Genomic DNA, 27,743 nt, shown 5'->3' with positions numbered 1-27,743 from the left:
AACAAGCTATAAAAATTCCTACAGAACTCAACAGAATTTCCTCACCAGCAACAGAACTTCCTCAAATAATCGGTCCCAATTTCCTGTATCTTTTCCAGGATTCAGGAAAAGTAGCAAGTTGATTCAGCCACAGACCATCAAGCAAAGATCTGATTGCCCTCGGTTGGTTCAGATCCTACCTATGAAAGGTTGGTTGGTAGGTCGTTAAGGACATATCTGAACTAAGGCCATAATTCAGAGTTCCTTTCAGTTATCAACTAAAATACCTTCAGTAAACTACCTCACAAATGGCTGAGTTAAAAATTACCTCAGAGTGTCTCAAAAGTTACTTTAATACAAGATCCATTAAATAAAATAGTTAAGGATTCATGCCTGGATTGTCCTTTAATAAAGTTTCATTATTTCCTCATATTTATAAGGACCACAGTTATAGGGAAGGCTGACAGCTCTGGAGTTTTAACAAACTACCACTCAAGTCCTAAAGAAAATGAGGACCTCAAAGTCCTTTCCCCAGTCTCAGAGTGAATTATGAATTGCTGACCTACACTAGTACAGCCTTCAACTTAAAAAAAAAAAAATTAAAGAGGCAGAACTTGGGAATAAATCAGCCTTCCCCTGAGGGCGCAAGACAGAGATGAAAACTCTCTGACTTCTTTGAGTTCTCCCAGTGTGACAACTAGGACGCGAAAGCTGAAAAGAACAAAGGCTACCTGAGGTAATACAAATGTCTGCTCTGAAATTTAGGCTGTCACATCACAAAGGAAAACTGAGATTTCAGAGTGATCTGGTGTGATTTTTGTCATCACAAATGTTCTGACTTGCCAAGAAGCCCTACGGAGCAATTGTTTTTAACCAGGGCGTGCACAAGAGTCAACTTTGGATCTTTTTTAAAAAGCTATTTCCTGCCTCTGTACTGCTGAAGGGTCAGTGAGCCTGAAGTGAATCTGTGTAATTTTTCAGAGCTCCTTAGAGGATTGAGAACCACTGGTGGGGAGGCTGATTAATTTCTAGGAGGATGGTGCCTCTCAAAATTAAATGTGCTTGTGAACAATTCCACCACTGCACTCAAGTCTAAGATCTTGTTAAAATGCAGATTCTGACTCTGTGTCAGGGATGTGGCTGAGTGTCTACAATTCTAAGGAACTCTCCTGTGATATTCATGCTGCTGGTATAGGAACCACCTCTATGTGGCAAGTCAACAGGCTTTGCATCCCAACTTCAGAAGGCTGCCTTCAGGAGAATGGGCATGGGGTGGAGGCTGGGAGACCGGTGTTGCTGTTTCATGTGTGGTTTGTGGAACAACCACCCAAAAAATCACCTGAGGTATTTACTAAAAATTAAGATACCAGGGCCTCATCCTCAAACATATCCAGTAAGAGTCAGTTAAACAAGCTCCCTAGGTGATTTGTTTTCATACACACCAAAATTTGGAAACTTCTAAAAGTTAAAGAATCATCAGCAATAGATAAGTAAAGGAATTACGAGTCCCACAACCATTCAGTGATACATTATAAATTAAAACTCATTATTAATTTAAGACATTGCAGTCTCCCCTGTTTCCTAGTTAAAACTGTGGAATGTAAGAGTTTGAAAACAATACAATCACCTTGATACATGATTTTTAAGTATGTACAAAAGAACAAACAACACCGCAAATATCATTAAGATTGCTTATGACTATACTCTCATTGCTGTGGACTAAATGTTTATGTCCCCCCAGAATTCATGTGGTGAAGCCCTAATCCCCAGTGCAATAGTATTTGGAGATAAAGCTTTTTGGAGATAATTAGGTCCTAAGAGTGAATATCTCATAATAGTGTTAGTGCTCTTATAAGAAGAGACACAAGAGAGATGATCTCTCTTTGTGTCATATGAAGATACATCAAGAAAGCAGCCATTTGCAAACCGGAAGAGGGATCCCATCAGGACACAAATCAGCTCACATCTTGGTCTTGGACTTCCCAGCCTCCAGAACCATGAGAAATAGATGTTTGTGATGTAAACCACTTGATCTATGGCTTTTGGGCTTGAACTAAGACACTCATTCATGAAACTATTTCCAGAACTTAGACTTGGGGGTCACTTATGATCTACTCTAATCTGTTTTCCCAACTGCTTTTCCATTAACACCACCCCCTCCTACATACCTTCTTTGTCTTCCCTGCATACTCTATGTATTCTCTTTTCCCTGTGAGAAAAAAAATCGCTTTTAATTTTTTTCAGAAAATATTGCTCTGTGACTGATACTCTGAACTCCAAGTCCTTGAGTGTTATCTCTGACACCAAAATATAAACTCACAAAATGGATGAAGCAAAATGCTTTTCTTCTCCATAGTACTGATCAGAAGCAAAGCCATTTTCCTGCATATGAAAAAATAGAGAAAATACACATCTGCAAAAAGTTGAATGGATAGAGAATTTTAAATTAAGGTTGTAACCTGGCATTACAAAATGAAAGCCTGGAAATTTTTAGTTTAATTGAATAATTCAGGCTTTAAAATATTTTCTCGTCCTATATACAGGCTGGAACTTTTAGAAGAGTCACACGTAGACAAAATTTTATTATTTTAAATGTATTAAATATATAATTATAAATACAGTTTGCAAAATGTAACGTTTAGAGTGCTTTTCATATAATTGACAATTACAAATATGAAAAATATTTTTAGCAGGCCATTCCTCATAAATTAATGTGAAAAAGCCATCGTACTATATCATGCTCACCTCTTCATTCCTACTTTCTTTTCAGTCAGGTTTCCTGTGTTCAAATTTCTTCTTGGTAATAATAGCAGAGATTGTTGTAATGAATGATCACGGGTCAGACAGGAGTAGGCCCACTCCGCCAGGAAGCACAGCATGGTTACTGTTTGAGTTTGCCAGAGCTGCTGTAACAAATTGCCACCAACTTGGTGCCATAAAGTAATAAAAACTTAATTTCTTATAGTTCTGGAAGTCAGAAGTCCAAAATGGGTCTTACCCACTAGCAGGGTTGGCAGAGCTGCATTCCTTCTGCTCTGACAGTTTCCTTGCCTTTTCTAGGTTGCTTTAGAGGCAACCTCCCATTCCTTAGCTTGTGGCTTCATGCTCCATCTTTAAACTCTATCACTCCAACTTCTGCTTCTCTCATCACATGTTCTGTCTTTCCTCTCTGCTTTCATCATCAGATCATTTTCTTTTACTTTGACTCTTTTGCCTTCTTCTTACAAGGTCCTTTCTGATTATATTACCTGAATAATCCAGGACTGATTGCCCATCTCAAGATGCTTAACTTTGTAACATCTGCAGAGTCCATTTTGCTATATAAGGTAACACATTCACAGGTTCTGGGGATTAGGACATGTACATCTTTGTGGAGAGTGGCATTACTGCACCTACCACAGTTAAAGAGGTGAGGATTGAGGAATGAGGAGTTTCTGACAGGATAACAGTTCGTGGAAAAGAACAGATGCTCTGTCACTCTACTGCTATTAACCAGATCTGATGGTTTTTGTTTTTTCTTTGCCTTCTAAATTATTTAATGATATCATACTTTGAAACTGCAGAGAAGATAATACATTTTTATAAAAACACACACCCAGCAAGTTTTGGTCTTAAAAAGGGGAACTTCTAGAAGCAGAGGGAAGTCTGGTTGGTGTAGTGCCAAGTCAAGCATTCATGGTTTCTTTGGGAAATAATCTCTTGAGGGACTGCTACGAGCACAACACAATTCTTAGAAAGTGTTACTCACCCTTTGATATTCCGATTCAAGAATGGAAATCTTCTCCCTTAAGATCCCTTAGAGCACTTTGGTCAAACTTAGAACACTAACAGTTGATTTTATTAACTGTTCATGGGTTAAAAAAAACAAAGAACATCTAAACGTCTACATAATCTGGTTGAGATGATCTGCTTTGATCTCTGAAGTTCACATCAGAGGTGTAATTTTTGCACCCTCTTAGATCTTGTCTAATAAGCTGCAGACTGAAACATGGCATCACTCAAGGGTTCACGTCTGGATATTCACTCTTCTCAGAGCATAAATCCCAAGGCAATGAAGCTGCTTCCCTAGCATCCCTATCAAAAGAGGGTAGTTTAAGTTTTCTGCCTAAAGCCGTGCCTTCACAAGATGATAGACACATGGTACTGTCATTCTTAGCTTCACTACCTTCTATCTACAGTGGCCCTTCTACCACTAGCATGCACATACTCACCTCCATTAAGGTCTTAGTCTTGCAAGCCTACATCAAGGTCAAGGATTTAGTCTTATTTCTTTTAGATTTTTTTAGACTTAGCAAAACAACTGAAGTCTACCTCAGCACAGTAGTTAAATATCTATTGAATAACCTGTGGTAATTATTATTGATCATATGCATGTAACTATCCATTTTTATCAAAGACTTTTCAGTTTTAATATCCAACATATGCTTATGTTTACAATCTAAACAGTGAATAGCTTCAGTATACAGTTATTTGGCCATAGTAAATTCCATCCCTTACAATCACAATTCTGTACAAAATTTCACTTGCACGGAAGGAATAAGTTCAAGACATCTACTGTGCAACAGGGTGACATAATACATAGTTAAAAATAATGTATATACTTGAAAATTGCCAAGAGAGATTTTAAGTGTTCTCGCCACAAAAAATATGAGGCAACACATATGTTAATTATCTTAATTTAGCCATTCCACAATGAATATGTACTTCAAAATATCATATTGTACAACATACATATATACAACTTTTGTCAATAAAAATTAATTTGTAAAATCATAATTCTAAATTGATATTTAGATTGAGTACGTTATCGAAATTTTTTATTTTTTTCAAGTTTTGAAAACTTCATCCATTCAGTAGACATTTGTAACATTTATTTGCTTGGGCTAAGTTCATTTTTACTCTCTCTAATCTTACTCATCTGAAATAAATCTCAAGTCCTAGAAACAGGTAACTTCCTTTGGATCAAATCATTCTGAATGTTTCCCTTGTCTCCCCCCTTCAACCTGCTGTCAGATTTGTGAGGGACAGAATCCCAGTCTCATTCTCATTTAAATTCTCATAACAGATGTGGAAATGCTTTATAACTGTAATGAATTGAACATATGTCTTAGGTGACAATTCTCCATCAATCTCTCATGTTTCTCCACATCCAGGAATTGACAGGTATTTCACGAAAGTGAAGATAAATAATGTTTCCCTCCCTGGAATATTTCAGGAAAATAAAGACCTCTCCTTCCCTTCTCTGGGGTGTGTGTGTGTGTGTGTGTGTGTGTGTGTGTGTGTGTGTGTGTGTGTCCCCAGAGAGGAGGATGAGCAGGCTTGCTAGAGATGCCTTTATATGATTGAGAGTTTCTTGGGCTCACCATTCTCAGCTGTGACATAGATCCACTGTGTGTGCAGCATTCATCCGGGCCTGCCTCTGTCTCATCCCTATGCAACTTGGGAAGGGGGGAACTGAACTTTTAGAATAAAAGCAAAATAAGGACATTCTTACACAAAGAAAAACAAAGAATTTATCATCAAAAGCCCCTCGTTATCTGAAATTCCTCAGGTATACTTCAGACCAAAAAAAAAAAAAAAAAATCCCAGATGAAATTTAAAAGTAGAAGAAAAATAATCAACAACAGTAACAATGAAAAATAAGTGGGTAGATCTAAACAAACATTGACTGCATAAATCAACAACCGCAACAACAACCTCAACGAGTGCAACAATAATTAGCCACGGGTAGCAATAATACAGGGAAAATTAAAACACTGAACAACAATGACACATAAGCAGTAAGGGTGAAGATCAGAGTTAAATACTTGAAGATGCTTGTGTAATTCTGGAGGAAAAGAAAAATATTAGCTAACTCTAGACTTTCACAAATATGCATGTTAAAATAGCTAGAGTAATCACTAAAAGAATAAGATGGATCATATACTTTCCAACAAACAGAGGAGGGAAGCTAGGAAAAAACAGCAAGAAGCCTCACTCAACCAAGCAATGACAAAAAGGGAGAGGTAAACAAGAAACATAATGCATCATACACACATAAAGAAGATGGCCAAATGCAGCAGCTCAGGCCTGTAATCCCAGCACTTTGGGAGGCCAAGGTGGGCAGATTACTGAGGTCAGAGGTTCGGGACCAGCCTGGCCAACATGGTGAAACCTCATCTCTACTAAAAATACAAAAATTAGCCAGGCATGGTGGTACACACCTGTAGTCCCAGCTACTTGGGAGGCTGAGCCAAGAGAATCACTTCAACCTGAGAGGTGGAGGTTGCAGTGAGCCAAGATTGTGTCACTGCCCTCCAGCCGGGGCCACAGAGCAAGACTCTGTCTCAAAAACAAAAACAAAAAAATGCATAAAGAAAACCTCAAGTAAATCAGAACTTATTATCAAAGGCCCATTTTTAAACTAAAATCAAAGAAGATTTTCAGAGAGGGTATTTATTCAGGGAAAGGATAAAACATTACTCAGAAGAAAAATACTTCATTGTGTATGCATAATCATACATGACTGAATTTATACACAAAAGCATGTGAGAGTCTCAAGGTATTTCTACAAACTACTGAAACCAAAAAAGAAACCTTTTTCTCTCATAATTTCTGAATGTTTCCAGGGAAACTTATTTGCCTGAATCAATATGGATGACTGCTGTAATTTTTTACTTTACCTTGAATGTACAGATTTTGACCCTATTCAAAGAGCTTGATTATCCAGCCAGAGAAATGGCCCACAGACCATAAACTCTACAAGTGATGTAATTCTGGGGAAAAAAAAATCTAACATAACCCTGAGATCAAGCAGATCTCTATGATTTTGTCTTATTTCAAATAATCCTTAAGGGTAACAGTGCATTATTTGACCTAAAGAATGTTTCTCAGCCTCCTCCAATTCCCAATCAGACACTTGAGCAAGTATTTCAGAGACAAAGAGAATCTCTCTTCTGGCTCTTCTTTTCAGAGGCTGACCCTTCTGTTCCACTATGGGCAAGAAAGAAGCTGGAAGTTTAAAACTGTGATGATTTCTGTACACTGTAAGTTAAAAACAGAGGTTATCTTTTCCAAATTGGAAGGCGATTTACTCTTTCTTCTTAAAGAAGGAAACAAATTCTCTCCCAGACTCCAATGCTACTGTGCTGTTTGAAATTTGCGAATAACAATGTATGTGCCATACCTATGATTCTTAAACTTCTCTTTAAGAACTTTATGTAATGTCTATTCATCATGCAGCTTTCTGATCCCCACTTTCAGAATTTCTGATGAGGGGAGACCCCCTGTGTGATTCAATGCAGATCATCCAAGGTGCCTATCAGTAGCCTTGCTTATCACCTGGCGCTTATTAGAAATGTAGAGTCTCAGCTCCATCCCAGACCTTCTGAATCAGCATCTGGATTTTACTAACATTCTCAGATGATTCAAATACATATTGAAAACTGAGAAGCAATAAATTAGACATCCCTCTGCGTTCCTGTTGTAGTTTAAGTATGAATAAGAAAGAATTTCTATGGTCTTAACAGCTTTCAGAAGTTAATTTATTGGTAGAATAAACAGTTTAAACTAAAACTTTATACATTTTAAAACAGGATTAAAGCCATTTATTTTAACTATAAATGACATTGGAATAGTGCCCTGACTCCAGTAAAATGGTGAGTTAGGAGCTTATAATAGTAATAGGTTTGGTTGTTAGTAAGACTTGGAAAATAGAGGATTAAACAAGACGGAAGTTTATTTCTCTCTCAAATAAAAGCTATTCACATATGCATTGACCAGAGTTGGTATTTTGGCTTCACACTGCCATCAAGAACACTGGCTCTTATCTGTCTGCCTCATTAGAATGGTTACTGTATCTTTAGCTGTCGAGTCCAAGTTCCAGCCCATAGGCAGAAGACAAGGAGTAAAGACAAAGGGGTTGCCCCTCTTTGTAGAGTGTGTTTCTTGAAAACTCATACAACACTTTTGCTTATGTATTAGTATTCCTTACATATGCCTACAATCTATCCACAAGGAATATTAGGAAATGTAAGCCTTTTGTAGCCACACTGCCTGTACCCCCAACATATCAGCATTCTATTAATTAAAGAAAATGAGGCCGGGCGCATGTGGCTCATACCCGTAATCCCAGCACTTTGGGAGGCTGAGGCGGGTGGATCACGAGGTCAGGAGATAGAGACCATCCTGGCTAACACGGTGAAACCCCATCTCTACTAAAAATACAAAACCAAAATTAGCTGGGCGTGGTGGTGGGCACCTGTATTCCCAACTACCAGGGAGGCTGAGGCAGGAGAATGGCGTGAACCCAGGAGGCCGAGCTTGCAGTGAGCCGAGGTTGCACCACTGCACTCCAGCCTGGACAACAGAGCTAGACTCCATCTCAAAAAAAAAAAAAAAAAAAGAAAGAAAGAAAGAAAGAAAGAAAGAAAATGAGAGAATGGATGTTGGGGAAGACAACTGGCAGCTTCTGACACCGGACCCACTTGAGAGTCCAAGAAGGCCTACAGACAGCCCCCAATTCAAAACATCTGGTGTGTAAACCTGTATTTACAAGTGACCTGGCTCTACCATTTGGGGAGAAACGTAATGTGAAGATGAAATAGAATAGAAGAAACTATGCAATAAAACAGAAAAAAGCAATAACATGTGTGATGGACTTTTACTCTAATAAGGCCACTGAATGACTCAGCTCTTCAGGGCACATTTCGTAACGGAAGCACTTTCTGGAAATCGGCAGAGCACAGCTTGCATGCTTAACAGTGGTCCTAACCCAGGGACCCACCTATTAGCTCATCTGTGCAAACTTCGTCCCTTTTATGGCCGATGTTTTGGTTTTTGGTGGCTTTTTTCCTTTGCATTTTTTAGCAACAGTGTTCAACATTCCCCAATTAGCAATCCAAGCATCATCTTTTTAAAATATTAATAGCTGCAGAATGGTTATGGGCCATCAGTCATTCACGAGTGTGAATGGATTAATTACATTAATTTTCTAATGGCTGACAAAGATCAGCTGCTTTGTGGGAAAGAGACTGTAGTCTGGGGCCGGAGGAGGTCAGTAAATCATTTTAGAGGCCCAAACCTTTGTTCTGCCCTCTGTTAAAATGCTGCACAGGTGTAGGCTGAAGTCATTAGAGGCCGGGAGGAGAGGGGCCTAGGGTATTGAAGAGGAGCACAGAAAGAAAGGTAAATTGATGGAAAATTAAAACTTTACTACTTAAAATTTGTTCTAAAATCATCAGAGTACCAGGAATTGTTAAGAAAAAAAAATTCCATTTTATCTTCGGCTTCATATTATTCCTTGCCATCAGAGAATACCACAGAGTATACTTAGATCGATGTTACAAGCATGTAGTTTGGCTACATTGTGGGTTCAATATCATTTGAAGGGTAGCTTGGGGATTAGCTAGCATGTAATATGTGTGTTTGATAGAAAATGCATAGCATTCCCAACAACCAAAGAGGAAATAAAAATTTGCTTCATCATCTCTACATAAACTAGGGATTGCCTTTATCCAGCACATTTCTAAACTAGTATATTACTGTTGTTGTTGTTCTTGTCATTGTTGTTGAGGAACTCTTTTATAAACACAATTGTCTGTAAGAGAATACATGTCAAACAGAAAAAGGGGAAGGCAGTTCTGGATGAATCACAACCCAGCAGCTCAACCTCCAGGCCTCTCCTTCAAGAACACACATTGAGAAACACCTTTCTGGACAAAGAGAGACCAGTGTCTCAAAGTAATACTAGAGCTTAAGTTTCTTTAGTAAGAAACATAAGCACCCCCTCCCCTTCCCTCTGCAATAAGTATATAAGCATGTTGGATCATGGGGATCAAAGGTGTGTTTACTGGAGCTATCGATATCCAGTGTTTATTTAAGCATAAACTGCTAACACTATAGATTTGATCTAATTTTACATTTTCAAAGAATTTCACATGCATGAATCTTGTATAGCACAGCAACCCTATGAGGAAGACAGTACAGGTATGGCTGTGCTCATTTTATTGATAAGAAAATTTAAGTGGCTTTAAAAAGTTAACGTTGCCACAAAGTAATAGAGATAGAGCAAGGGTTCAGATCTTTTCATTTTTCAACTTTGGCCACACTTTATAATCACCAGGGACACTTGTGAAAGAGAAATGCCAAGGATGTGGGGAAAATGGCAGCAGTGGCTCCCTGATTTTTAAACACCCAAAGTCCCTCCTCCCCCATCCAACTAAATCTAGCAGAACAACTGGGCGAATAGATGCAAACACCCACAGGCAACAGCTACAACAAAACCAGTAGTATATAAGAACCCCAAAATATACACAAAAAAGTGGATACAACCACCAGTAGCAAAAACCATGCGTTGTCCACACCATGCGAGAGAAACGGCAAGAAAGCAAAGCAACTCCTAATGGCTCTGAGAACTGGAGGGCCCTCAAAGTGCTAACAAACACTTATTTTAAAAGTGTATTCCACATTGTTGGTGGGACTGTAAACTAGTTCAACCAGTGTGGAAGTCAGTGTGGTGATTCCTCAGGGATCTAGAACTAGAAATACCATTTGACCCAGCAATCCCATTACTGGGTATATACCAAAAGGATTATAGATCATGCTGCTATAAAGACACATGCACACGTATGTTTATTGTGGCACTATTCACAATAGCAAAGACTTGGAACCAACCCAAATGTCCATCAATGATAAACTGGATTAAGGAAATGTGGCACATATACACCATGGAATACCATGCAGCCATAAAAAAGGATGAGTTCATGTCCTTTGCAGGGACATGGATGAAGCTGGAAACCATCATTCTCAGCAAACTATCACAAGGACAAAAAACCAAACACCACATGTTGTCACTCATAGGTAGGAATTGAACAACGAGAACCCTTGGACACAGGAAAGGGAACATCACACACCGGGGCCTGTCATGGTGTGGGGGGAGGGGGGAGGGATAGCATTAGGAGATATACCTAATGTATATAATGTAAATGACGAGTTAATGGGTGCAGCACACCAACATGGCACATGTATACATATGTAATAAACCTGCACGTTGTGCACATGTACCCTAGAACTTAAAGAAAAATTTTAAAAATAATAAATAAAAAGTGTATTCCAATCTGGAAACCGCTGCAGAAGCAAGCGCAGCTTTCAGTAGCCCCATACGACTGTGCGGGACAGAGACCAGTGTAAGATTAGATGTGGCACCGGCAAGCTAAGCCCTGTGAATTTTCAAAATGAATAAAGGGAAGCTACCTCCCAAGACAAAATCCCACTCTGAGGAGAATGCCATTTGAATAGGACAGGTACAATAAAGCAAAGGGAAAGAAAATTCAGATGAAAGTGGGGAAAGGGTGCACCGGAGTTAGATCTCAGAATTCACTGAAGCCATTATGATTACTACTAGTAGTCACCGCATGGAAACAACAGATAAGATAGTGCTAAAGCCCTGAATCTAGAAAAGCTATCCGGGACCACCCTTTCTGTCTAAAATATACAGGAACTTATTTGTTTTAAGCATGAACAAAAGAAAAGGAATGTGATTAAATCCCATACAAAGGTGTTTTTTAATCAATAAGGAGCAGAATCTAATATTTCTAAAAAAGTGAAAGGATTTATAATAAAGTAATAGAAACTATTAAATAACAGCATGAAACAGAAGTAGAAACACCTGGAAATGAGGTGAATAGAAAAGGGGAAGCATGAAAAGATAGGGTGACAAAATTTAAGAAAGAGCATAAAAGAAAAAACCATTTTAGAAATGAAGTCTGAACTTGAAGTCACTCAAAAGTAAATGAACATAAAGAATAATGCCTTAAGAAAAATAGAAAGTGAAAGGAAGAAATGTTTTAACATCAAAAAGAAACACTGAAAAAGATCTAAACTATTCTTGAGAAAGATATAGCTATCGAGGATAAGCAAAAAGGATTGGACATTGTACTAAGAATCCCCAGCGAAAAGCAAAGCAAAGGCAGAGAACAAATACGAAGATTATCAATCAAGAAAACTTCCATGAAGTTTAAAGATATAAAAATAAGAAGACTTGAAACTTCACATGGAAAAGGCATACCACATACGTGGGAAAATCATCATAGCACGGCCGTGGCATATTCTGATAAAATCATCAGACTTTAAATAAAAAGAAAAAATGTCTAGCACTCCTGCCTCCAAGTCACTTCTATGAAAATCAGGTTGTCATCAGACATTTCAGCATTATATCAAAAACAAAATGAGGCAACATACATAAGAAAATGTGAACTAGTGTATCATCCAGCCAAACATAACTCCAAGTAAAAAGGGCACAGTTATTAATTTACCAAGTAAGCAAACCACTACAGCCACAACCCTCGCAAAAAAGAGAAAGCACTATTTCTCTAAAGAAAGTTTCAGATAACCAAATGTCTAGAAAAAAACTGGCATAATTTCTGACAGTGAATATTAACTATATATTTATCTATAGAACTAAGATAAAATGATGGCTATAGTGGAAAAACTAAAGTTTATGATGGCTACACATTGACGGTATAATAAAACAGGGACAGAGAAACAGGAACAGACATGAAAAGAGAAGGAACTTACTTATTGCCTTCTGCAATAAAGTTTTCTGCATAAATTGCCTTCTGGGAGTAAAGGACATTTCAAATACAGGCATACCTTGGAGATATTGCAGGTTTGGTTCCAGACCATTGCAATAAAGTAAATATCCAAATTAAATGAGACACATTTGATTTTTTTTTTGTCTCTCAGTGCATATAAAAGTTACATTTACACTATGTTGTAATCTGTTAAGTGGGCAATAGCATTATGAATAAAAAAGCAATGTATATAATTTAAAAAATTTATTGCTAAAAAATAATAATCATCTGAGCCAGTTGTAATTTTTTTTTGGTGATAAGTCTTGATGTCGATGGCTGCTGACTGATTAGGGTGGTGGTTGCTGAAGGATGGGGTGACTGTGGAAATTTCTTAAAATAAAACAGTGAAGTTTGCCACATCAGTTGGTTCTTCCTTTCATGAAAGATTTCTCTGTCATATGCCATGCTACTTGATAACATGTTACCCACAGTAGAAAGCCTTTCAAAATTGGTGTCAATCCTCTCAAACCCTGCCACTGTTTTATCTACTAAGTTGACAGAACATTCTAAATCCTTTGTTTTCATTTCAACAATGTTCACAGCATCTTCACCAGGAAAAGTTTCCATCCCAAGAAACTACTTTGCTCATCCATAAGAAACAACTTCTCATCCCTTCAAAACTGATCATGAGATTGCAGCCATTCAGTCACAGCTTTTGGCTCCCTTTTTAATCCTAGTTCTTTTGCTATTTCCACCACATCTGCAGTGACTTCCTCCACTGAAGTCTTGAATTCCTCCAAGTCATCCATGAGGACTGAAGTCAACGTTTTCCAAACTCCTGTTAGTGTCATATGTTCTTAATGGCATCTACAATGCTGAATCCTTTCCAGAAGCTTTTCAAACTACTTTGCCCAGATCCATCAGAGAAATGATTATCTATGGGAGGTATAGCCTTATGAAGTGTATTTCTTAAATAATAAGACTCGAAAGTTGAGTTGACTCCTTGATCCATGGGCTGCAGAATGGATGTTGTGTTAGCAGACAGAAAGACAACATTAATCTCTTTATACCCCTCCATCAGAGCTCTTGGGTGAACAGGTGCATTGTCAATGAGCAGTAATATTTTGAAAGGAAACTTTTTTTTTTCTGAGCAGTAGTTCTTAACAGTGGGTTTAAAATACTGCTGCAAACCATGATGTAAACAGAAGGTGCTGTCATCCAGGTTTTGTTGTTCCATTTATAAAGCACAGCTAGAGTAGATTTAGCACAATTCTTAAGGGTTTGAAGAATTTCACAATGGTAAATGAGTACTGGCTTCGACTTAATGCCACCAACTGCATTAGCCCCTAACAAGAGTCAGCCTGTACTTTGAGGTTTGAAGTCACTGACTTCCCTCCAGCTTTGAAAGTCTTCAATGCCTTCTTCTTCCAACAGAAGGCTATTTAATCTATTAATATATAGAAAATCTACTCTATAATGTAGCCATCTTCATCAGCGATCTTTGCTGGATCTTCTGGATAACTTGCTACATGCAGCTTCTATGTCGGCACTTGCTGTTTCACCTCTTTTATCTTATGGAGAAGGCTTCTTTCCTTAAGTCTCATGAGCCAGCCTCTGCTAGCTTTAAGTTTTCTTCTGCAGCTTCTTCACCTTTCTCAATCTTCACAGAATTGAAGAGAGTTAGGGCCTTTGCTTTTGATTAGGCTTTTGCTTAAGTGAATGTTGTGGCTGGTTTGCTCTTCTATCCAGACCACTTAAACTTTCTCCATATCAGCAAAAAGGCTGTTTTGCTTTCTCATCATTTACATGCAGCACTTTAAACTTTTCCTTTGCCTTCACAACTTGGCTAATTGTTTAGCACAAGAGGCCTAGCTTTGGGCCTATCTCAGCTTTTTGGACATACCTTTCTCACTAAGCTTAATCGTTTTTAGCTTTTGATTTAAAGTAAGAGACATATGACTCTTCCTGTCAGATGAACACTTCGAGACCACTGTAGGGTTATTAATTGGCCTAATGACAATGTTGTTCTGTCTCAAGGAATAGGGAGGCCCAAGGAGAGGGAGAGAAATAAAGGAATGGCTGGTTGGTGGAGCAGTCAGAACACACACCTTTATTCATTAAGTTCACCTTCTATAAGAGCAAGGCTTGTGGCATCCCAAAACAAATACAATAGTAACATCAATGATCACTGGCCACAGATCACCATAACACATATAATAATAAGTTTGAAATATTGCAAAAATTTTTAAAAATGTGACACAGAGACACAAAGTGAGCACAAGCTATTGGAAAAATGGTGCTAATAAACTTGCTCCATGCGCTGTTGCCACAAACCTTCAATCTGTTAAAAAAAAAAAAACACAACATATGGGAAGCACAATAAAGTGAGATGCAATAAAAGGAGGTGTGCCTGTAGATGCTGGGGGCGGGCGGGGGGAACAGAAAAGAAGTTAGTACTAGGAAATTTCAAAAATTCTAGCAGGAGGGAACAAATAAAAAATAGCCAGAGAGAGGAGGAAAGAGAGAGAGAGAGAACACAAGTACATAAAATAGAATACACAGTGAAAGGGTATGTATACATAATCATTATGAAAACCAATATTACAGAACCAGAGGTCAAACATACAGATCATATCAGTAAATATAAAATGAGATTAATTTATAAAAGGAAAAACATTCACATTGGCAAACAAAGCAATCATGCTTTTGGTGATAGCGTTCGCATTGTTACTTTTAGGCAGTTGTGTGTGTGGTAAGGGATATCCTGATTCCTATGTTTGCATCATATATTACTTCAAAATGCATGGTTTTAAAATATGATGACATTGATAAAGGGCTTATATCTGGATACAAACAACTCAAAAATCAATAAGAAGGAAAAACTTCAATTTTAATAAATGTGCACTAGATTATAACAGACAGTACACCACAAAAGATATACAAATGACAAATGAGCACATGAAGATATGTTCATCTTTAGATATTAGGGAAATGCCTATTAAAGCCAACATGAGCTATCATGACACATCAAACGGAATGGCTAAAATTTAAAAACAACTCAACATACGAGTGTTGGTGATGCTGTGGATTACCTAGAATTTTTTTTTTTTTTTTTTTTTTTTTTTTTTTTTGAGACGGAGTCTTGCTCTGTCGCCCAAGTTGGAGCGCAGTGGCGCGATCTCGGCTCACTGCAAGCTCTGCCTCCCAGGTTCACGCCATTCTCCTGTCTCAGCCTCCCCAGTAGCTGGGACTACAGGCGGCTAATTTTTTGTATTTTTTAGTAGAGACGGGGTTTTACCATGTTGGCCAGGATGGTCTCGATCTCCTGACCTCGTGATCCACCTACCTCGGCCTCCCAAAGTGCTGCGATTACAGGCGTCAGCCACAGCGCCCGGCCTGGATTACCTAGAATTCTTAAACATTCCCTGTAGCAATATAAAATATTGATAAACCGTTTTTAAAACAGTATGGTAGCTTATAAAATGTTAAGCACACACATACCATATAATCCAGCCATTTCACCCCTAGTTACCCAAGAAAAATGAAAACAGATGTTCAGACAAATACCTGCACATGAACACACATACCAACCTTATTTGTTAAAAATAAACAAACAAACAAAATCTAGAGGCAATCTGAATGCTCATCAAGAGATGAATGGGTAAACAAATTATAGTATAGCCACACAATGGAATACTATTCAATAGTAAGAAGAAATGAACTATCGATAACTCTATAACATGGATGAATCTCAAAATAATAATGCTAAATGAAATAAGCCAGGCCAAAAAGAGTACATAATGTATGATTCAATTAATATAAAATTCTATAAAATGCAACTAATGTATAATAACAGCCAGTCAATAGTTGCCTGGAGACAAAGAGGGGTGAGAACCAGGGAGGGGCAGCAAGTAAGGATTACACAGAATACGAAGGAGAGGAAGGAAACTCTTGGACTGATTTGTTGTCTCATTATCTTGATTGCCCTGATGGGTTCACAGTGTATGTACAAGTCAAAACTTACTGAATTATGTGCTTTAAATTCCACAGTTTTTTATGTCAAATTATATCTCACTAAAGCTATATAATTAAAAAGGTAAGAGAGAGGGCTATACTTAAAAGCAACAAAGCATGAGTAACTTAATACCAACAAAATGACATTAATTTTGCTCTTGAAAAAAATACTTGGGCAGCTCTTAGTGGAAATAGCTTATTTCTGTTCCAATCCATGTCACCTGAGGAAATGGACTCATCTAAAATTTTCCTCACTTACAACTCTGGTGGTTGATCCTGTCAGCTGAGATCATAGGTGGGACTGTTGGCCAGAATGTCTGCAGGTGACCTCTCTGGAACCTGGACTTCCTTAAAACATGTGGCTATTTCCAAGAGTAAGCATTCTGAGAGAAAGTCCAAAAGAAGCTGAATCACCTCCTGCCTACCATGCAGACATCATACAATGTTGTTTTTGTCTCTTTTTATTCACTGAGGCAGACAGAAAGTCATATCCAATTTCAAGGGAAGAAAACTGACTCCACATCCGGAAGCAGAAGCAACAAGATTCTGGATGCACACACAGGATTGGAAACACTTTTGTGACAATTTTTAGAAAATTCGATGTGCCATATGGGACAAATAAGTGAGTCCCTCTATTAATGTAATTAGAAACTGACATTTTTGGCATGAAAGAAAGAAGATTCACAAGTAAGGGTAATAAAATTAAAGAAAAACACCATATTCCTGAGTTCTAAAATATGTTTCTATTTTCCACAAAACTATAAAAATCCCATAACATAGGAGAAAATCTAGGTGGCCTTGGGTTTGGCAATGACATTTCAGATACAATACCAAGAGCAAGAACTATCAAAGAAATAATAAGCTGGACTTCATTAAAATTAAAAACTTCTGTTCAGCAAAAGACACCGTCATAGAATGAAAACGTAAGCCACGGGTTGGGAGAAAATATTTGTAAAAAGCAAAGATATATCTAATAAAGGACTATTATTCAAAATATATAAAGAACTCTTAAACCTCAACAGTAAGAAAACAAACAACTTGATTAAAAAATGTGCCAAAGGCCTTAGCAGACTCCTCATCAAAGAAGATATACAGAAAACAAAGAAGCATATGAAAAGATGCTCCATGTCATAGGTCATCTGGGAAATGCAGATTAAAACAACAATGATATACCAATACACAACTACTAGAATGGTAAACATCCAGAAACAACACCACCACATGCCAGCAAGAATGTGGAACAACAGAAACTCATTCATTGCTGGTAGGAATGCAAAACGGTACAGCCACTTTGGAGGACAGCTTAGCAGTTTCTTACAAAACTAAATAGATTCTTACCATAGAATCTAGCAATCAAGCTCCTTGGTACTTAACAAAAGGAGTGGAAAACATGTCCACACAAAAACCTGCACATGAGTGTTTATAGCAGTTTGATTTATAATTGTCAAAACTTGGAAGCAACCAAGATGTCTTCAGTAGGTGAATAAACTGTAATATATCCAGAAGGTAAAATATTATGCAATACTAAAATGAAAAGAGCTATCAAGCCATGAAAAGATATACAGGAAACTTAAATGCGTATTACTAAGTGAAAAAAAGCCAATCTGAAAAGACTACATACTGTAGGATTCCAACCTCAGGACATTCTGAAAAGTCAAAACTAAAGAGCCAATTAAAAGACTGGTGGTTGCCAGGGTTTGAGTGGGAAGATGGATACACAGGCAGAACACAGAGAATTTTTAGGGCAATGAAACTACGCTGTATAATACTATAATGGTGGATAATGTCATCATACATTTGTCCAAACCTATAGACTATATGCCAAAAGTGAACCCTAATGTAAACTATGGACTTTGGGTGATAATGATGTGTCAAGGTAGGTTCATAGATTGTAACAAATGCACTACTCCGGTGGAGAATGTTGGTAACAAGAGAGGCTGTGCACGTGTTGGGGAAGGAGGTACATGGGAAATCTCTGTATCTTCTGCTCAATATTACTGTGAACTGCTCTAAAATGAGCAATCTAGTAACAATGAGCATGTCAAGCTATCAGATCTGTGTCTCTAATTACATTTCCTCATAAAAGGAACTAGGGCTTCTTAGAGAAATGGCTGTTTTTAGGAATGTTTAAGATGAGCCTTCATACCAGAAAGCAAGAAAGCAGTGACTATTAGGATTGTGTCCAAAGGGCTCAGAATCCAAAATGAAGAGGATACCCTGGCCATTGTTGAGACAATTTAAGCACAAATAAGAAAAATATTTGCAAGTATTAAAATATATCACATATTTAAGAATTCATGCATTCATCATATCAAATTTTAAACCTCATTGGAAGAAACTGGTATGTGGTCTCATTTGAAAACTAGCAAATAAGAGAAAAGAATCAAGGAGTTTTCCTTTCTTTACTGTATAAACTATATAATCTCAGGGTAATTAGATAGTTGATGATGGAAAACTTCATTATAGAATGAACTATTGCAGCTAGTAAGTAAAAGGAAAAATTGAATTAGAATAGCATCACTTTGTAAACTAATTCAAAAATGGGTCTGGGCATTGATCATCAGAGGCTGTTAATATCTCAAAAAGAGAAACAACCAGAAATATTTTGCCTAATGATGGGTGTGCCCAATAACATTTACAAAACAATCTTTCCAAAGTGATCCAATTTAAATTCTACCAAGCTTTTAGCTCTAACTATCAATTTACAGGAAATAAAGAGAACAGAGGAACACATGAAATGATGTAACAGAAATTCAATTATTCCTAACCCTTTGGAAAACTGCAAACAAATGACTCACTCTCTTTTTTGCAAGAAAAAGAGATGGAGACGTAGGCTATAGATTTTAAAAGATGTGAGAAACACATTAACCGATCTCAATAAATATACCTTCTTTGAATTCTGATTTGAGCCAACAAATTATAAATATATGGGACAATCTGGGAAGTGCGAACATTGACAGGATATTTGATTATACAAAAGAAGTAAGTTAAACTTTTGGTGTCCTAATGGTATTACAAGTTTTCAATGAATTATCCTCTTTTAACTACACATACATCCACACTAAGATATTTTTCAGATGAAGTCATAGCTAGGACTTCTATCCAAATAGCCCAAAGGAAGGGTTAGTGAAAGTGGGGTTGGCTATATATAAAACAAGTCTAACAATGAATCAGACATTGTCGATGCTGAGCAATGGTTACATCATCCTGTAGATTCATTATTTTATTTTTTTCACTTCCACATATATGTTAAAGATATTCCAAAATAAAAAGTCTAAAACAAGTACGTAAGTAAATAATTATACCCTCATCCCACTGCCAGATATTCTGATGTAATTGTTCTGTTAATATCCCGCTTTTGTTCTTTTTTAAGATTGCTAAGGAATTCTAATGAGTAGCAGTAAATGAGAATAATCTCATTGAGCTATACACATAGACAGATATACTCATACCTCATCATAGCATGGGAAGAAACCAGGTAGCCTGTTATCTAGGTGACTGATTGATTTTAGAAGCCACAAATCATAACAGAAATGAGTACAGCTTGCATGTTTATGAGTACAGTACATACACAAATATAAATACGGTAAACATTCCTGCTTAATGGGAAGACTTGCCAAGTGCAATGAACTGTTGTCTGTGGGGTTGCACTTTTGTGCTTGGCTGAGCTGGTTGGAGTACAATGAAATACAGGGGAAATAAGGCTCAGTCATTCAATGACAAGGTGACTGAGGCATTTTCCTGGAGAAAGCATGCAGCAAGCCTGTATCTGGGCCATTTTGGTTATAAATAATTCAACTAAAGAAATCTTCCTCACCTTTCATGGTAACAGTAATTGGTAATATCATATGTGATATTTTAAAGTCCATCTTGATTAAATGCCCGTATATATGAAATTGAGTAACATTTGAGATTTGAAACCACATCATATATCATACCCATGGAAAAAATAAACACATCCTGTTTTTCTTACTGTGCAATTGTAATACATATTAATACTGCTCTCCCTACTAACTGAAACAAATAAAACCCTGAACCTCAACAAACTGCCTTTTCTTAACACTATTATTCAAAATCACTCCAGCAGGTTATAGCACAAGAGCAATTTTTCCAAAAAAAGGCCTAAAATATAATACAGAGAAGACAGTCCTCAAAATATAGACTACCATTATACGTCAGAGTCCTCAGTAAACTAGCTATAAGTTTTTTTCCCCTAAGAAATTATTTCCCTAAATTGTTCTGCTTACAGTATATCTCAGGGAAATAAAATCTTTAAAGTATTTATCAACTATTGCTGACGCATGTTTCAGAGATTGGTTGAGTACTTACCTTTTCTTTAAGGAGAAAATTCCAGAAGGCACAATTTTAATCAAAATCTCACAAGGCGGCACATACCCAGTCAGGATCCAAATGATGGAGTCAGAACATTAATAAAGCTTGGGAACAGTTTCTTTTTAGGAGCTGGAGGTGGTCATTTCATCTCAAAAGGCAGACGGTATTCTGGTCTGACATCCAGCTCAACTAGCACTCATCATTCTCAACCTCAGTGGCCCTAGTTAATAAAAGTATTGATGTGTCCCTGCCTAACCTACAATATTCAAAGCTTCACTTGAAGACTTGAATAGGCTCTTAATTTTTCTCCAAGAACTTCTACAGGGCCCTTTCTTGAAATCTATGTTTTCATAACAAAAGTGAAAATGTGCTGTCAGCAATTTTGTTTTTGAGGGTTCTATACATGAGAGTGCACGTTAAGTAGTGCCAAGGGCCCAGACCTTGTATGTGATAGGCTACATGACTGCCTGTAGACGTTTTATTCTCTTGAACCCCAGCATCTGCATTTGCAAAATAGGATTCAGATTCTCTCTCTTCTAGGAACAGCTAAACATTAAGAAGAGATGTTGTGCACTGTTCCATTTGTAACGAGTGCTCAATCAACGTTTATTCTCCCAATTCACCCACCCCAATTAGAAGAACTCTGCCTAGAACAAATAATTACAACCCTTGTTATTAAATGCCTTGCTAATCTATCTAGCATTCCTCAAAGTGTATTTCAGCAACTTTATTTTCTTGGATTACAATTAGATGTCCACAGAGCCACTGAGGAGGGTAAAAGTAGTGTCTATGGACAAGTTAGCTGAGAAATACCTGTTTTTATGAAGGCTTAGAGTTTTTTAATTGCTAATTTAAATTGTGATCCTTTGGTGGGGTGTAGGTTCAGTGCAAAGCATGCTACCTTTCCCAACATTCTATGCAACAGGAACTGGTATGGTTTGGATCTGTGTCCCCACCAAATCTCATGTCAAATCATAATTCCCTACTGTTGGAGGCGGGGCCTGGTGGGAGGTGATTGGATCATGGGGGTGGAGTTCTCATGAACGGTTTAGCACCACTGCCTTCTTGGTACTATATAGTGATAAAGTTCTCGCGAGATCTGGTTGTTTAAAAATGTGTTAGTACTTCCGCCACCCCCAGTCCTGCACCTGCCATGTAATATGCCTGATCCTGCTTTGCCTTCTGTCATGAGTAAAACTCCCTGAGGCCTCCCCAGAAGCAGATGCTGCCATGCTTCCTGTACACCTTGTGGAACCATGAGCCAATTAAACCTCTTTTCTTTATAAATTAACCAGTCTCGGGTATTTCTTTATAGCAGTGTAAGAATGAACTAATACAGAAACCTTCTTGTCAGTAACTCCTATTAATAACCCAAGGAACTAACAATGTTTTTTGGAAAACAATGTGGCAAGACCAAATGAGTCCTGAGAACTATGGGAAATTATTGTTGTCTCAAAAGATAAGAATGCTTTTTTGGTATTGTTTCTATGCATGGGATTACTCATAAGCACCACGGGAATGAAATACCTTCAGCAACTCACTGCAGAGCTATTGGGTAATTTTATTTTGTTTAGCCTTTGGATGACAAAAAGCAAGTTGTTCACTCTTGTGAACAATACAGTGAATAATTACAGTACTTGCTACTGACAAATGAGCATGATTTCTAAAGGTACAGTGGTCACTTTAGTCAGAAATATAATTATCTAGACAAAAGCGATTTGATGTTTTTATACTTTTAATAGTTTAAAAGCAAGTTTGGGAGAGCTCAAGGTCATGGTAATTCTAATTGTGTATGTGCTGGTTCAGATACATATAAGCAACCATTCTGAAAAGGCAATTTGGTTTAACAAATATCTGCTGCATACTTGCTATATAAAAGGTACTAGTTAGTAAACTAATAATGGTAATAGAAGATATGCATTACTTTGGACGAAAAATTATAATGAATCTATATTGTGAACTTATGTATGTTGCAAAAGGTTATGCTGGCTTTTCAGGTAATCATTCACTCTGAGCTTCTGCCACCTCTGGGATTTCCACAAGCTGCAACATTTTAGTTTCAACTCAGCTTAGCAATGCCATTGCAAAAACCATTTCAACTAGCGTTCAGATAGAATGGAGTATGCGTCCATTGCCAAATCAACTCACTCAGCATGTGCTCTCGCGATTCAGTTCTAGAGCAGCTGTGGTCTACTCTGGAGGAAGGGTAAATGAGATCACTTAGATTGAAGTAGCTTCCAATCTACATACTTAAATGAGAAACATACAAATTAACCATGCCCAGATGATCCCAAGTATGTTCAGGATTCAGGAGGTTGAAGCCAACTCACCTTGGTAGGTAATTACCGTCTTTCTGGTAGGCAGAATCGTAAGGTAGATCTCAAGATTCCCACCCCCATTGCACATGCTCTGTATAATCTTCTCTCCCTGAATATGAGTAGGTCCGTGAATATGAGGGATCTTACTCCCATGATTAGGTTAAATTAGCTGACAAAGCTGAAGGGATTTTGCAGATTTAAGTAAAGTGCCAAGTAAATCAACATTGAGTTAATCAAAAGGGAGATTATCCTAGGTAAACCTGACCTAACCAGGTGATCCCATAAAAGGGACTGGACCCTTCTGGAAGAAAGAGCTTTGAACCCACAGAGATTCTCCTGACAGCCTTAGGAAAGCAAATAGTCATGTTATGGAGAGGACCAGATGGCAGGTAAATTCTTTTCACAACCATTTCTGGCAGTATCCTTCCTGTCCGTGGGTTTAATGCATTCTCATCAACACACATGATGTATCCATCAGGGCCCAGGCAAGAGACAGAAACCACATCAGTTATTTGAACAGGGAAAATTTAATACAAAGATGCCTTAACTAGATAAGTAGTTGATAACTAGAAAAATCAAAGAATAAAAAGAGATCTCTAAAGTATAATGAGAATAGTACCTGCAAGAGGCAGCTATCACTCCAAAAGCCAGGGAACAAAAGGAAGAGATTGGAAGTATTAAAACCTACAAGGGATCCTGTGAAGCTGAAACTCAGCCATTTGAGGAAAGACTGCTGGCCTGCTGGTGTCTCTGAGCTTGGAGGAGGGCACCATAGAACTTAGACCCAGATTTTTAAGAACAAGACAAAGAAGCTTTTTCTTCAGGTGCTGGAAACTTCAATCTGGGTTCAGCTGCTTCTATAGGAAGGTGCTGCTGTAGCTGGGGCAAAAAAAAGTAAGGCTGAAGTGACACCCCCAAGAACAGCAAGCAGACAGGAAGTTCACAGGAAGCAAAGATGAACGAGAAAATCTCTTTTCTCCTACAGCTCTGAAGTCTCCCTCTGGTATCTCCTGTTGGCAGAGCCTAACATGGACCCAGCTGGAAGCAGACATGGTTTCAGAGTTGCTCTCCAGCAACTCGAGGTGAATTTACAAGGGTGAATGTGGAGCCAAGAAAAAATAACTTAGTAGCTGACACACATGGTTTATATTATTTTTTCTATCCCTTATTCTGTCTCCCAGAATGTCTTCTAAACTTTCTGATACCTGAAAATCCACAATAAAGTTTCTCCCACATGATACGAAGCTCACACAGAGTCCATGAAGCTGCTGTAGAACACACGCTGCCATAACCAAAGCCGCTGTCTCCTTGATCTGCTACCACTAAATTCCCAAAGAATCCAAGGGCTGAAAGCCCCAGCCACTATGCCTGAGCCCTCCAGACCCAGAAACCACTCTGTGGATTCAGCTGAAATGAAGGAACAGACACCTACTTCCGTGTTACACTTGGTTGCAGAGTTTGCCTCGTGCTCCCACTGTCTGAGAGAGAGCATGGAAACACTAACCCATTTTTGCTTGCAGCTTTCTATCACTAGGACCAGAATTCATTGTACTTGTCAGAGAATTATCAAGAAACAGATGCTATTATGAGACTTTATCCTTGGTTAATACTTGTGCACTCTGGCTTTCTTTCCCCTTACGGTGAATTATCTAATTGTTTAAAGCAAACCATGCCAAGATGCTACTAGTTATGCGCATCCTTAGATTTAGCCTGGTTTCAAAACCTATGCTACCTGGGATAATATACTATACAATGTGTAAAGAGCATTTTATGAGGCAAAATAGTTACATAATTATGAGCAGACTCTAGAGCCTGGCTGCTTGCATCCAAATCTTGACTCCATTTGTAACCTTAAGCAAGTTAGTCATTGTCTCAGCCTGTTCAGGTTACTACAACAAAATCTTATAAACTGCATGGCATATAAACAACAGAAACTTATTTCTCTCAATTCTGCAGACTGGGAAGTTCAAGATCAAGGTACAAGTAAATTCAGAGTCTGGTAAGGGGCCCCTTCCTTGTTCATAGATAGTGCCCTCTTGCTGTTTCCTCACATGCTGGAAGTGGGTGAGAGGTCTCTGTTGGTTCTCTTTATAAAGGCACTAATCCCATTCATGAAGGCTTTGCCTCATGACCCTAATCACCTCCCAAATCCCCTATGGCCTAATACTATTGTCGTGGGCTTTAGGATTTCAACACAAGAATATGCAAGGGAGGGACGCAAACATTCAGACTATAGCAATTATTCTTTCTAGGTTTTGGGTTCCTCATCTCTATAATGAGGGTGATAGCAGTAGTACCTGCTACATAAGATTGTAGTGAGGATAAAATATGTCAATGTAGGCAGAGCACTTGGAGGAGCGGCTGCCACAGTAAGTGCTTCATAAATGGAAACTGTTATTTTGCATTCCTGTCATTTTGAAAATGTAACCAGATATCATGTTGTCATACCAGGATAATTCTCACTTCAGCACCAAGATCTCTATTTCATCCACCTGAAATCTAAATTTTGGAGTTCCTCAGAGCTCTGTGATGGATTTTCATTTTTTCCCCTGGTCATTTTCTTTTCTAAATGATCTTATGCTTTACTCTGACTATATATCATTTAAGTGTCATCAACTCCAAAATTTATTTCTCACACAGATCATTGTTCTCATCTTTAAACATACACATGTCCCATTACCTACCTGAAATATCCACTTTGATGGCTTATAGGTATCTGAAGCATAACGTGCCCACAGTTGAATACTTAGTAGTCCATCTCTCCTCGAATCTTTTTCTCCTAAGTTTTTTCCTTTCCGGTAAATTGTGTTGTAGTTCATCCAAGTGCTCAATCTAGAAATCTGGGAGTCATTCAGGATTTATTTCTCTCCATTAACATCCCGCACTCAATTGATTAATATTTTCTGCCACTTTTTTCCTCCAAACTATAACTCAATCCAATCATTTCTCTTCCCATACCATCATCATTTCTTACATAGACTATTGCTTCTATTCTTTCTGCTACCACAATTATTCTCCACGAATCAGCCAGAAAGATCATTTTAATGTGTGGATCAGATCATGAGGTCCTTCTTCTTAAACCCTGTGATGGCTTCCCATTGCACTGAAAATAAAATTTCTGCTTCTGATATGTGGCTCCCAGTGGATTCTTGTGATGTGACTCCTTCTTTACTCTGCAATCTTTTAAGTCTTCCTGGACATCTTCAGTTCCTTTTACCTCCGAGGCCTCTCCTGCCTGTGGGTCTTCATGCATGCAGTTCCCTCTCCGTGGGATGCTTTTTCCACTTCCTGTAGCTGGCTCAATCTCACCCTGAGGTCTTAGCATAAGAGTCAACTGCTTGGAAAAATCTTTTCTGACCACTGTGTCTAAAGTGGGTTCCTTCACCTACCATGTCATTCCTGCTCTATTATTCTCTACCATGGCACTTAATTCACTTTAAAGCATGTGTAGCAATCAGTACAGCTTGATACTTTTATATGCCATTGTCTGTATTCCCACACAAGACAGTTCTATATCCTTTTGTCCCCTACTAACCTATGTTCTGCTACTAGCACAGCGCCAATCTCACAATACACATTGAAAAAAAAAAAATTGTTGAATGAATAAACATACTATGGCCCTTCTCCATGAATGTTTTGGTGAAAACAACAGAATACCCAGAGAGAAAGTGGATACAGTCAAATTCCTCCTGTGATGGTTAATATTGAGTGTCAACTTGATTGAAGGATGCAAAGTATTGTTCCTGGGTGTCTGTGAGGGTGTTGCCAAAGTAGATTAACATTTGAGTCAGTGGACTAGGAGAGGCAAACCCACTCTGAATCTGAGTGGGCACCATCTAATCAGCTGCCAGCACAGCTAGGATGAAAGCAGGCAGAGGAACGTGGAAGGACAAGACTGGCTAAGTCTTCTGGCCTCCATTTTTCTCCCATGCTGGATGCTTCCTGCCCTCAAACATCAAACTCCAAATTCTTCAGCTTTTGGACTCTTGGACTTACACCAGTGATTTGCCAAGGGCTCTTGGGCCTTCAGCCACAGACTGAAGGCTGCACTATCAGCTTCCCTACTTTTGAGGTTTTGGGACTCGGACTGGCTTCCTGTCCCCTCAACTTGCAGGCAGCCTGTTGTGGGACTTCACCTTGTGATCGTGTGAGTCAAATCTCCTAATAAACTCCCCTTCATATATTTACCTGTCCTATTGGTTCTGTCTCTTTAGAGAATTCTGACTAATGCACCTTATAATTAAATGGTACAGCGACATGTTTAGAATATTAGTGTCATAAAGTTTAAAATTCATATTTCCCTACTTTCAATTCCAAATACATCCAGATTACTGATAAGCTTAACCCTGAGTCTTAATATCTGATGTAATTTCCTATCACCATACCCAGTAGCTGTTGCATCTTGAGACCTCCTCTTTTTGGGACTAGTCATACCTGCTGGTTCAAATTATACCAGATAAATTTCTAATACTTACAGCAAAGGCACAAAATTATATTTCTGGATTAATCAATAGTCACATCTTCTGGTATGATTGTGAAGAACGATTCG

The 27,743-nt window shown here is 38.1% G+C and overlaps 1 long non-coding RNA gene across 1 annotated transcript in view, besides 1 other annotated feature; it reads right to left on the bottom strand.

Moving 5' to 3' along the window:
• Window positions 1-27,743, bottom strand: part of LINC01317 (long intergenic non-protein coding RNA 1317) — a 590,861-nt gene that overhangs the window by 172,847 nt on the left and 390,271 nt on the right. The gene's annotated exons all lie outside the window — the stretch shown is intronic.
• Window positions 1,667-2,866: an enhancer, noted in NCBI's record as "MED14-independent group 3 enhancer chr2:34347101-34348300 (GRCh37/hg19 assembly coordinates)". NCBI's record gives its function as "activates an origin of replication core promoter dependent on BRD2, BRD4, P300/CBP and CDK7 cofactors, and independent of MED14, by STARR-seq in HCT116 cells {active_cell/tissue: HCT116}" and the evidence as "EXISTENCE:reporter gene assay evidence [ECO:0000049][PMID:35650434]".

This window comes from Homo sapiens, chromosome 2 (genome assembly GCF_000001405.40).
Source record: "Homo sapiens chromosome 2, GRCh38.p14 Primary Assembly".
In the NCBI taxonomy this organism is placed as follows: domain Eukaryota; kingdom Metazoa; phylum Chordata; class Mammalia; order Primates; family Hominidae; genus Homo; species Homo sapiens.
This window is presented reverse-complemented; position numbering and strand designations above follow the sequence as displayed.